Source organism: Homo sapiens, chromosome 18 (genome assembly GCF_000001405.40).
Source record: "Homo sapiens chromosome 18, GRCh38.p14 Primary Assembly".
Taxonomy (NCBI): Eukaryota; Metazoa; Chordata; class Mammalia; order Primates; family Hominidae; genus Homo; species Homo sapiens.
Window position 1 is genome coordinate 58946693 of NC_000018.10, and position 13362 is coordinate 58960054.

At 39.3% G+C, this 13362-nt stretch overlaps 1 protein-coding gene across 59 annotated transcripts in view; it reads left to right on the plus strand.

The window, feature by feature from the left end:
* The window catches only part of ZNF532 (zinc finger protein 532), a 123557-nt gene that overhangs the window by 83769 nt on the left and 26426 nt on the right, over positions 1–13362 (plus strand). For 42 of the 59 annotated variants that reach the window (NR_148460.2, XM_047437584.1, XM_047437592.1 and 39 more), the window contains 2 exons: positions 1375–1537; positions 6826–7107. The exons of 7 other annotated variants lie outside the window; for them this stretch is intronic. Coding sequence is in view for 50 of the 52 variants with exons in the window: in XM_047437584.1 (XP_047293540.1) it covers positions 1375–1537; positions 6826–7107 (445 nt within the window). In the remaining 2 variants the exon portion in view is untranslated. Of the gene's footprint in view, positions 1–1374; positions 1538–6825; positions 7351–7533; positions 7643–13362 lie in introns of those variants that run through there. 10 more of the 59 variants (XM_047437603.1, NM_001353535.2, NM_001353536.2 and 7 more) reach the window with 5 other exon arrangements.

The following is a 13362-nucleotide window of genomic DNA, read 5'->3' on the forward strand; positions in this document are numbered from 1 at the left end:
AATGATTAGTATACAACATTGTGCTGCATTGTACGGCCCCGAAAACCTTGTCTGCTTCTCAACACCCCCTCCCCCAAGGGTACTTGTGCTCTGCAGTAAAGTAACTAACATCTCAAGACCTTGTAAAAACAGGCCAATCCAGTTAAACTTATAAATCTTACGGGGAAAAAGAGAAAAAAGTTACATCTGTAACTTTGGACAGAGAATTGCACAGTGAGGTTTGAAGCTACATGGGAAGTCCTCTCTCAGGGCCCTGAGAGAGGGAAGGCAGGTGGTTTTAGGAGGCATTCCGTTCTTCAACTTTGCCGTAGGAATGCCAGGTAAAACCTCAACTTCTCTCTTTTCATTTCTGACCCTCACATCCAGTCAGCTTTTCTCTGACCTTTTCCTAAGCGGCTCCTTAGAATTCTTTGTGCCCATTCTCACAGTTCTCCAGAGGAAATACAGATGCCCATAGGCCCTCTCCTATGTGCCAGGGTGACCCAGAGCAGTGACTAAAAAATGGTGACCTGCTGCCATCAGAGCTGTTCTCAAATGACCGAACACACATCCATTGGAGGCAGAGGCCGGCAGCAGGGTAGACGCAGCCCTTTACCCTCTCAAGACATCTCGTGCCCTCGTTTCAGTAGAGAGTGTGGATGGGCAGGAGGGATTATGTTCAGAAGGTTCAGGTCTGCTGAATTCATTTGAGGAGGCTGCTTGTTAGTAACATATTAGTCATGGAAATAGTTTGTAGGAGACAAGTGAATATTTTAAGTCATTTAAAGCGTAAGAAACATTCAAGCATTGTTGAAATAACAGTGGTATCGATTTTATTTTCTGTTTCTTGATTTTACTGTATATTTGTTTACTGGTGTAGGGCTTCCTGTGTTAAGAACAGGTATAGAAATATTGACATTCAAATGTAAAATTGCTACTGACTCTAAATGAAAACTTTGGAGTTGAGTAGGCCTATTTAGTTTATTAATCAGATTAACATTCTTTTCCAAGTTAGGGTATCATCATTGCCTTGTCTGATCTTAAAAAAAAAAATCTTTAAAAAAAAAGGATGCTTTTGCTCTGTGTTAAAGTAACATGAAGACTTTGTACAAACATGTGCCAGTTATAGATTTGTGAATAGTAAAATGGTCATTAATTTAGATTTCTAAGTAAATGTAGCTGAATGCATCTTTACTGAAAATGTTAAGGTTGATCTATGGTTGAGTAATGCCAGTTGTCTTCAAAAGTTTGTTTCAGAGCTAATCGTTGTTCTATTTATTGTGTTTGTGTGTTCTCAATGTGCCTCTGCCTCCCAAGTTCTTCAGCTATAAAGTAGCAGATCCTTTGACTTAAAGAGGCTGACTGACATGATCTCGCTGCACTCTTCTATTTTAGAATAATATATAAGTGTTCCATGTGCGACACTGTGTTCACCCTGCAAACCTTGCTGTATCGCCACTTTGACCAACACATTGAAAACCAGAAGGTGTCTGTTTTCAAGTGTCCAGACTGTTCTCTTTTATATGCACAGAAGCAACTTATGATGGACCATATCAAGGTGTGTGTGCATCTATCCTCTACTTTAAATGAATTGCAGATCCATTCATTGGTCATAAATCAAGGCTGAGCTGCAGGTGACTCTAAAGCATGCCTCACTGTCGAGGGAAGGGATGGATGCTGGTCGTTGTCAGTGAGCAACTTACATGCTGTCATCATGTGTTCACTTGACTGTGGTGCTTTTCATTCAGGAGTCCTGATCTGCCTACTAAAGATTAGTGAAAAGGAACCAATGTCTGCCCTGATTTTAAAAGAGTAAAAAAGTACTAAGTTTTTTGTTTTTTGTTTTTTTTAATATGTGAAAATGATGACTGTGAAGTTTTCCTTTCCTTTCCTTTTTTTTTTTTTTTTCTTTTTGAGACAGAGTCTCCCTCTGTCTCCCAGGCTAGAATGCAGTGGCACGATCTCAGCTCACTGCAACCTCCGCCTCCCAGGTTCAAGTGATTCTCCTGCCTCAGCCTCCCGAGTAGCTGGGATTACAGGCGTGTACCACCACACCCGGCTAATTTTTATATTTTTAGTTTCACCATGTTGGCCAGGCTGATCTTGAACTCCTGACCTCAGGTGATCCGCCTGCCTTGTCCTCCCAAAGTGCTGGGATTATAGGCATGAGCCACCGCGCCTGGCCGAAGTTTTTCTTTTCTTGAGAATTCTGTAAGACTTAGAAACAGACAAGGGCTCTGAGGAATTATGCTAATTCACACAAATATTGGTATATTTAGAAAAATGAAGGTTTTTTCCCTTGAAATTATTTAAGCAGTTAGGTTTGCATTGTAATTAATGCCCCTAAACCTTTTAGTTTCTTTTTTTTTTTTCTGTAAAGATTGCATTGTAAATGGACTGTTAAATATCTAGGATATAGTATGGTACCTGGCACCTGGTGGTGTTCAGTTAATGAAATGAATAAATATCCAGTGTGGACTGTTTTACTCTCCAACCCCCAAAAGGGGCACAGAAATCTATTTATAGCCTTTTAAGCTTACTAAGGCCAGTGCTTAGTTCTAGCTGCTTAACTGTCCACTGTAATATGTTAAGCATTTTTTTTTCCTTGTGTGATTAGGAGATAATATCCATTGGCTTTCAGAGATTAAAATGACTTACTTTTTAAACAGAGAAACAAGAGACCCCATATTATCAGGAACTCAATCTCTTTCTTTTAGTTTTGCTCTTTTAAAAATACATTATACAGGCTGGGCACGGTGGCTTACACCTGTAATCCCAGCACTTTGGGAGGCCAAGGTAGGCGGATCACTTGAGACCAACATGGTGAAACCCCGTCTCTACTAAAAATACAAAAATCAGCTGGGCGTGGTGGTACATGCCTGTAATCCTAGCTACTTGGGAGGCTGAGGCAGGAGAATCACTTGAACTCAGGAGGCAGAGATCTCAGTGAGCTGAGATTGTGCCACTGCACTCCAGCCTGGGCGACAGAGCAAGACTCCGTCTCAGAAACAAACAAACAAAAAGTTACACAAAAAAGGTCAGTTTAAAGCGCAAAGTCCCTGAATTATTCTAGTCTCATGTCAGCTAAGTGCCTGGATTATGAATCCTTGACATTTCCTGTATTAAACATGTGTGAGTTCATATAGAGTAATTGCTTAATGCAAATGAACATCTTGGAGATTCTCTCCTTCCAGGCAAGGTAAAGATAGTGGTGGTGATGGCATTACTTGGGTGAATAAAAGCATGGGAGATGCATTTCATCATTCTCATTTGAAGTACAGTAAAACCCTCTTAAGATACTTTAACTATTTTAGCTAAAATTACATAATTATTTTGACAATAAATATCTATTTAATGAAACACCAGGAAGAATTTAAAACTGCTAATAAAAATTTAGGGATGTTGGAATTAAACCAAAATATTTTAACATACTACATGTGTGCCAACAACAAAGAAAAGAACAGTTGCTTCTTAAGAGGCTTTTAAGGTATTTGGTTTCTAGAACTCATCTTTGCATCTGGAAGTCGGGTCATCGACTTTGTGGTTAGGGTCTTCCTTGTGTTAATAGTGAATTTGGAGGAATACAAGGTTCCAAGAAATAGAAACTGAAGAGGGGTGGTAAAATCCTGTGGCCACAAGGAGGAAAGAATTGTTATTCATCTTAACCTATGCAAGACTACATGATACGAAAACAGTGGGAATAATCACTTATGTTCTCATTTCATGTATGTTCTATGCGTTTAAAAATATTATCCTGCATTTATATGTTTGGGGTTGGGTAAGCATAGTTTTAGGGGCATACTGTTTTTTTTTTAATTTTTAAGATAATCTATTTAGCTCTTGTTATTTATTTACATTGCCTGTGCTATGCAGTTTTTCATGAGGAAGGAAGAGGAAGTGGAACAGGCACAAGTTTTCTCCACATACATATTCACTTAAAGATGGGCTCTTATTTGCCCAGTTTAATCCAATTTGTGTCATTTTCTTCTCCTACCAAAATATAAACTTGTAGGACCTCCATGTTGACATTTATATTTAAACTTTTGAGTTACAGACACTCATTCAAATTAATTATTGTTATAGGAGCTAAGGAAAAATCAATTTGAAAAGAAATAAGTTGTTTCTTTATTTAAAAATGACAGTATGAATGAATGAATGAGGCATGTCTTGCCATGTTGCCCAGGCTGAACCTCTGGTCTCAAGTGGTTTTCTCACCTTGACCTTCCAGAGCGCTGAAATTATAGGTGTGAGCCACCATTCCCAGCTGACATTTGCTTTTCAGAGTCTTTTTTTTTTTTCTTTTGAGATAAGGTCTCACTCTGTTGCCCCGGTTGGAGTACAGTGGCATATCAGGGCTCAAGGCAGCCTCCATGTCCTGGGCTCAGGTGATCCTCCAACCTCAGCCCCCCGAATAGCTGAGACTACAGGCATGCGCCACCACGCCTGGCCGATTTTTGTATTTTGTATTTTTTGTAGAGACAGGGTTTCACTAGTTGTCCAGGTTGGTCTTGAACTCCTGGGCTCAAGTGATTCTCCTGCCTTGGCCTTCTGAAGTGCTGGGATTTACAGGCCTGAGCCACTGCACCTGGACTTAGTAGTCTTAATTTTACTTGCAGTGTAACTTGTTGCTTCTTTTCTGTAATTTCTGTAGCACTTTAAGGTTATCTTACAGAAGAATATTTTAATATTTTATCCTTTCTTCAGCTTATCAGTTAGTAAAAATGCATTTGCCTAGAAACTTATGAAAAGTTGCTAGAGGGTTTTAGGTTTTGTTTTCTTTAGGTTTTAAATAGTTAAAAATGGAAAAACTTAGCTTCTCTTTTGACAAAGAGCAATGAAACACAGAAGCCTTCTGCCCTGAGTGGTGGGCATGAAGCAAGGCATAGTTTTTGGCTATCAAGAAATCATGTCTTGCTCCAGATTTTCTCTTTGCAAAGAACATGGTTAGACAATCACCTCAGCCCTCGCCCTGTTGTTTTTTTTTTTTTTTTTTTTTGAGATGGAGTTTTGCTCCGTCGCCCAAGCTGGAGTGCAGTGGGGAGATCTCTGCTCACTGCAAGCTCCGCCTCCCGGGTTCATGCCATTCTCCTGCCTCTGCCTCCCAAGTAGATGGGACTACAGGCACCTGCCACCATGCACGGCTAATTTTTTGTATTTTTAGTAGAGACGGGGTTTCACCGTGTTAGCCAGGTTGGTCTCGATCTCCTGACCTCGTGATCCACCTGCCTCGGCCTCCCAAAGTGCTGGGATTACAGGCGTGAGCCACTGCGCGTGGCCCACCTCAGCCCCCTTTTATGGGCCACTTTCACTGTTGCCTGTTTGGGTAGACCTTGTGACTTCAGCTGGTGAGAAAATGATAGAACCCCTGTTTCCCTCTGGTGAAAAATGATGTTGAGGAAGGTTAGCTAGTTCTTGGCACTGTTTAGAGAAGACCTTGCCTTGAGAAAATGTGATGGAGAGTGTCCTGAAGGAATGGCTTCTTTCTTAAACATCCAAGAAGGAATGTGGAGCTGAGGTCTATCAGTGTGAGTCTCTGTGACCCAGGGGAACTCGGATGTGTGAAAGCCTCTTAGGAAAGATTTTTAATGTTGTCTTTCTGTAGATTCAGGAATTCATGGTTTAACTGCAAGCCTGACTGCTAGTAAGAAGAGACGGCCCTATTCAAAAATAAATTGTATATTGTATACAGAGGCAAAGATTTTATTTTTTGCTCTCCTCCACCCTCTTTTTTTGTTTTTGTTTTTATTTTTTGAGACAGGGTCTTGCTCTGTTGCCCAGGCTAGAGTGCAGTGGTGTGATTGTAGCTCACTGTAACCTTGAACTCCTGGGCTCAAGCAATCTTCTTACCTCAGCCTTCTAAGTAACTGGGACTTCAGGCATGCACCACTATGCCCGAGTAATTTATTAATCTTTTTGTAGAGATGGGGTCTCTCTGTGTTGCCCAGACTGGTCTCAAACTCCAGGCTTCAAGTGATCCTCCTGCCTTGGCCTCCTGAAGTGTTGGAATTATAGGCGTGAGCCACTGCATACACCCCACCCCGCTGTTTTTATTCCATGCTTTTACAATACAAAACAAAAACCAAAGTGAGCTGGTCTTTAGAATCAAATTGCACTAATTTTGCCCTTTTCAAATTTGAAATCCAGTGAGTTTAAGTTGAAGATGGCTGTTGTGGCCATTATGTTAATGATGATAGTTAGCTAAGCAATTTAAAAAGACATGAGTATCTAATGTGTGTAGTTCTCAAGCCTGGCTGCCATCAGTAAGAAAGGATGGGTCGGGATAGGATGTAAGGAGATGAAAATTCCTGACAAAACCCAGCAAAAACCCAGACTGTTACTAGTATTCCAAGAATGTGAAAGGCATGAAGAGAAAAAGGCTTGCTATTTACTAACGTATTGATCTTAGATGTTTGCTCAAGTCAGTTTGTTCTAGTTGAATTCCTAATAATGTATTAGCCTATTTAAACATTTCCAGGCTGATGGGAAAGGAGAGAGTTGTTCCGAAATGGTTTGTTGTAGAGAGGCCTCCCTCTGGGATGTTACAGGAAGATAAAGTACCAGGATTAATTTGTGTTCAATACAGAGGTCTTTCTTTAAAGAATTTTAAAATGGTACAAATATATAGGCCTTTAAAAAGCATTTGGAAAGAGAAATGCATAACGTATAGCAGACTTTTATCTCTTTTGAAATGTATATTTAGCTTAGGTTTTTTTCTTTATATATTAAATATTTCTGAATGAATATAAACTGGTGTTGAAATGTGTACCACATGTTAAGATAGCATACTTGTGCTTTCTTTTAGTGTTGTGATTTGTGATAGATATTTCTTTTCTTTTTATAATGTAGTCTATGCATGGAACATTGAAAAGTATTGAAGGGCCTCCAAACTTGGGTATAAACTTGCCTTTGAGCATTAAGCCTGCAACTCAAAATTCAGCAAATCAGAACAAAGAGGACACCAAATCCATGAATGGGAAAGAGAAATTGGAAAAGAAATCTCCATCTCCTGTGAAAAAATCAATGGAAACCAAGAAAGTGGCCAGTCCTGGGTGGACGTGTTGGGAGTGTGACTGCCTGTTCATGCAGAGAGATGTGTACATATCCCACGTGAGGAAGGAGCACGGGAAGGTCAGTAAAGAATGAAAGCTGCTCTGGGTGAGTGCAAGAGAGGGCACTGGACTGGCAAGCTTCCAAGATGTGGGCTCTTGGCTTGGCTCTATCAGTAATTAGTGCTGTGACCTTAAAAATCACTTGGTGTCTCTCTGCCTCACTTCTTTATCTGTGAAATAGACCTTTTCAAATCCTTCAGTCTTCAGTTTTCCTGGTCATTGCCTTCACATGCACTCCTCCAGACTGGTGTGCATGAATGTGGTAAGTTACCTATCACATTCATATTTATAGCTTAGGAAAGAGAAAAATAGTAAACCAAGGTTAAAGACATTTGAATTTACCTCTATCCTTGTGCCAGCTAAGGAAGAAAGGAGCAGAGAAAGACAGTGGAAATGTTGAACATTGCCAGTAGCATTTGTGTGACTTACATGATTCTTCCTTGAGTTTGGTAGTGGGAAGAGGAACCACATCCTTTAACTTCCAGTAGAAGCTCTGTAACTCCAAGTCACTGAAAAATCTGAGTCACATATGTATATCCTTTCTCTTTTAAATAGTAAGTATATGTCTCCAACTGATAAGGAATTTAAAAAATACTTATTAGACCTAATAATATTAGCAAAATTATTTTTCAGTATTATCTAATACTGTATTAAATACAATATTAGGCTGTATTCACATTTCCTGATTGTCTCAAAGTTGGTTTGTTATGGTCAGGACCCAAAAAGTCCATATATTACATTTGGTTGTTGTGTAATTCTTTATTTTACGTAGTCCTCCTTTCATTTTATTTTTTAATGTATGGTTGATTTCTTAGAAAAATTGGATTGTTTGTCCTATATATAGGTTGTCCCTCACTTTACTAGATTTAGGTAATTGATACTTTTTTTTTTTTAACTTGTTGACACTAGGAACCAACATGGAATTTGCTACTTTTTTTTTTTTTTTTTTTGAGAAAGAGTCTCACTCTGTTGTCCAGGCTGAAATGCAGTGGCATGATCTCGGCTTGCTGCAATCTCTACCTCCTGGGTTCAAGCAATTCTCATGCGTCAGTCTCCCAAGTAGCTGGGATTACAGATGTGCACCACCACGCTCAGCTAATTTTTAAATATTTTTAGTAAAGATGGGATTTTACCAGGTTGGCCAGGCTGGTCTCGAACTCCTGGCCTCAGGCAGTCCACCCACTTTGGCCTCCCAAAGTGCTGGATTACAGGCGTGAGCCACTGTGCCCAGCTGGAATTTGATACTTTTTGACACCGTTTAACTTGTTCCTCTTTATCTCATATTCCTGGAATATTGATTAGATTTGAATTTTTTAGGTAAGCCTTGTCAGCTGGGCATGGTGGCTCATGCCTATAATCCCAGCACATTGGGAGGCGGAGGCAGGAGGATTACTTGAGCCCAGGAGTTCCAGGGTGCAGTGAACCATGATCATGCCACTGCACTCTACCCTGGGCGATAGAGCGAGGCCCTGTCTCAGAACTAAAAAACAACAAAAGAATATGTCATAGGTGCTGTATTCTTTTTGTATTTCATCATGAGGAACATAATACCAGCTACCAGCTTGTCTCATTTGTAATCCTAATACTGAGATTGATTAGTGGGTTCAAATACGTGACGTTTTCAAAGAAAGTCATCTTACTGCTTTAACTTAAGCCAATAGAACAAAATAGTCATCCGTAGTGAGACTATATAGAGAGTACATAGAAATTGTTTTGTAATTAGTATACACTACATCTTTGAGCAGTTTGCTCTATTAAATGTGCTAAGAACTATTCTGTAATCTCATTTATTTGTACTATTTGTTTGAGCTGCTCATGAAACTGACATGTTTTACTTTGTGATTATCCCAAATGGCCTGTGAACATGGCTGGATCACAATATTCACAAATTGCAAAAAGATGTTTTTATTGTATTTGGTCTCACTACAGTGTGTCTTGATATAAAAAGTAGTTACTTACAGAATATATTTGGCTTTAGTGGCACATTGCTTATTTAATCATCTTAGTCTCAGGCTTTCCTACTAGCATTGTACAGTGTTCATTGTAAATACTGGGTAGTTTTTAAGGAGCAATACTTCAATAATCTACGGTATAAGTACACTGCCAGGGTGCTGTCAGAGTCTGATGTGGTGGTTCTAGGGAGTCTTCACTTGGCACCCCTACCAGATTGCATAAGAGTCAAACAGGAGCTGGCCTTCGTCATCATCCGGTAGTCCAGTCCTTTCATTTCGTGAGATTTCTGTAACTATCTTGTAACATATCAGAACTCTTTTCCTTTTTTAAAAAACTATCTTTATCTTACATTTGAGATAATGATTAGATCTAGGATATGAGAGGAGGAGATGGTTTCAAAAAGGTTGGTGGGATGAAATGTACCACTGATTGAAAGCCTTTGCTCTGGACCTGCAGCAGAGAGCCCACTCTGAATTGGATGTGTGTGCACGCATGTGCCCTTGGTTTTGATGGAGATGTTCATCAGAATGGAAATGTCTGGCTTAGCATAATTTTAGGATTGGCTTTGAAGGAGTTGAGGCCCTGCCTTTGGAATGAGGCACATCGTATTAGATTGTAGTTTCAATCCTGTTCCCTCAGCCTCCTGAGAGAATGAAGGAGATGAGTGGGTGAGGAGAGGGGAGGAGCATCTTCATAAGCTAGTGAAATGAATGGTGTTGAGTGTGAGAGTTCCACCATGCCAAGTCTCACTGGAGCACCCACTTCCAAACACCCCTCTACAAGCATCTTATATCTATCTCCATTCATTTCTCCTTTCCTAGAATACTTAAGTCACCCAAACTTCAAAGCCCCTGTGCTGTCTTTTCTCCGTCTTCCTTCAGACAACCAGGCGAGCACCTTGCTGTCTATATCTTTCCTTCCCATTTACCCTGGGCTTGCCACCTTATCACTGAACCCAGTTCTCTGGTGACCCCTTTGTTGTTAAGTCGTTGGATGTGTTCCTGTCTTTACCTCCACTCACCCCACAGCGGTGTTTCACATGATTAGCAGTTCTTTCTAAAAGCATTTTCTACCCTTATTGTGGAATACCACTCTCTCCTGGGTTCTCTCACCATTACCGGAACACCCATCAGGTTTCTGTCCTAGAAACATTTAACTTTCTCTTGGGAAAATTCAACCACTCTTATAACTTTGCTTCTCGTGTACAGTATATATACAGATAGCACCCAAATCTGTGTCTCCAGTTAGTTGAAAAGTATTTCTTGAATTAATAGACCAAGAATGAGTTCTGATTTGGAAGACATCTAACTCCTCTTAGACTTAACCTCCTCTTCTTTAAAATGGGTACATATTTAGTGATCTTCCAGTGTCCTGTGTTGTAAATACCTAGAGAACTGTATATGAAGTGATAAGTATTCTCTAATTCCTATGGGTTTAAGATGAGATATCAATATGAAATACGCTATACACATATAAGGGTTCAAAAATTGTATTTGGCTAAAGGTCTCAGGAGAGAATACAGTTTAACTTCCACCAGCCCAGAAGTCATTGGAAAGATCCAAATTTATTGGATTACCCAATGAAATATTATGCATTAGGATAAATATGTCAGCGTTCTGAACCAGTGAACTTTGTATACTTGATTTTAGTATCATAATTATGACTTAAAATACATATATATATATATATATATATATATATAGAAATAAAATAACTTGGGGAATAATCTAAACGTATTCTGCCAACCACAGTACAGTCATTACCTTAGTGTTACTGCTTCTAGTATGATTATTATTTTGATAAGATTTGGAGTAAATATTTCAGGTTAGGAGTAAATTTAACTGGCATAAGTTAAAAATTTATGTCAAAACATTAGAATTCACTGCTACTCATTTTAGATGGCCATTTTGGTTTCATTAATTGTTTTTGACCTTTCTTCCCCTTCTCAGTTCCCATCCAGAAGAACTTTACTAAAAAGAAATATTCTGTATACAGTTCAATTTATTGAGTAAAGATATTCAGTAGCTTTGTTTTTAAGATTCAGAACTGGCCGGGCATGGTGGCTCATGCCTGTAATCCCAGCACTTTGGGAGGCCAATGCAGGTGGATCACTTGAGGTCAGGAGTTCGAGACCCCCCCTGGCCAACATGACGAAACCCCATCTCTACTAAAAGTACAAAAATGAGCTGGGCATAGTGGCAGGTGCCTTGTAATCCCAGCTATTTGGGAGGCTGAGGCACGAGAATTGCTTAAATCCAGGAGGCGGAGGTTGCAGTGAGCCAAGATTGTGCCACTGCATTCCAGCCTAGGCAACAGAGCAAGACAATGTGTCAAAAAAAAAAAAAAAAAATACAAAAACCTAATTCTGGCTCTGCTAGTTATTCAGTAGCTTTTCTGTGTCTCTGATGCTCTTTTTAAAAAATGAATTGTCAGTATCTACTTTCAGTGGTTTTTAACTTTTTTCCAGTTATTTGTCGTAATCTGATATCAAGTCAAATACTTTAAAAAAATATTGACAGATATTCAGTGCATATTTATTAAAGGCGTAATCATCTTAAAACCTACAATTTGCTGAATTACTGCTTTAGCTATTTAAAAAAGAAAAACAGTTAAAGCAGCAGCATTTTAAGAAGTTCTTGTTACAAATTCTATATACAGAAAGCAGTAAAAAACTTACCAATTTCTCTTTTTAAAGTTTTTTCTCAAATGCTTATGTATTATCTAATTTTTATTGTGCTTTCTAAAGTTGGTATTATTGTTTTGTTATGGCCAAATTTTAGCTGTCCTTGTAAATGGTAAAGTCTTTGAGGGCAAGTTGTATGTCCATTTTATTATTACAGTCTTCTATGGTTTACAGCATTGTGCCTTGCAGAGTATCTCTGGAGTCCCTGATTGAAGCAGTTCTCTTTGGATTGTTACTTGCACATATGGGAAGGGGCTTTGTGTTAGTCACAGATACACACAAGTTGCAGTCTAGGTTCAGGTACCTAACTAGCTTTCTAACCACAGAAATCCCACCACCTTTGTAGTCTCTATATTCTCAACTATAAAATCAGGAGGACGGGCGTGTCAGTGTCACATTAACCTGATGATCTCATCCCAGCCGTGAGCCTTTCCTCAGATCCATGTACAAATGCACAGAGTTTTACATACAATTTTAGGTGGGTTGTGGATCTCCTGCTCTTCTTTTTTGTTGTTCTAGAAGGCCTTTTAGGAACCAAACTAAGATCCTTTGAATGAGATAATATCTGAGGTCATTCTTAGAGATCAAACATTCTGTAATTATGTGAGCCAGTATTAAAATTAAAAAGAAGTTACATGTTATATGTACCTGTTCAAATCTAGAAAATTACAACACAATCTGTGATAATTGTAATCATTCTCTCATTTGCTGCCTGGTTCTCCTACACATCAAGGAACCTTAACTTATTAATTGAAATATCCTAAAGCAGAGGCATATGTGCTGAATTACGGAACTCTGGTGCCATCAAAATGAACCTTAGATCTTTTCAGTTTTTTGTTTTTTGTTTTTTTTTGTTTTTTTTTGGTTTTTTTTTTTGACAAGGTCTCACTCTGTTGCCCAAGCTAAAGTGCAGTAGGGTAATCTTGGCTCACTGCAACCTCCGCCTCCCAGGCTTAAGCAGTCCTCCCGAGTAGCTAGGACTACAGGTGTGTACCACCACACCCAGCTAATTTTTGTGTTTTTATAGAGACGGTGTTTCACTGTGTCACCCAGTTGAACTCCTGGGCTCAAGTGACCTGTCTACCTCGGCCTCCCAAAGTGCTGGGATTATAGGCATGAGCCAGTGCACTCGGCCTCAAGATTCTTCATGATGTAGATAGATGTGGTCCAGTACTGTGTCTGTAACTTGGGAAGAGCCTGGGAGACTTGGGTATATATTCTGGCACCACAACTACCAGTGTGACTTTGTGAAAAAATAATTAACAACCACCATCTTCCAGCGTCAGCTTCAGTTTGCATAGGTCTAAAATGGAAATATTTACCACCTAAGAGTCTTTTTAAATTAAATAAAATGAAAGCATGTAGCACAATACATAATAGATGTTTTTCTCTCTATACTGTATTTCCTCTCTGAACACTATAGATTTTTTTAAAATTAAATTTTGCTAGAAAGCAGCTCACCAAAATGGAAGGTTCTGCATACAGAGACGTTATACATTTACCACTTCTAAGTAGATTTTTCTTCTTTTTTTATTTTTTTGAGATAGGGTCTCACTCTGTCACCCAAACTGGAGTGCAGTGGCACGATCTTGGCTCACTGCAACCTCCACCTCCCAGGTTCAAGCGATTCTCCTGCCT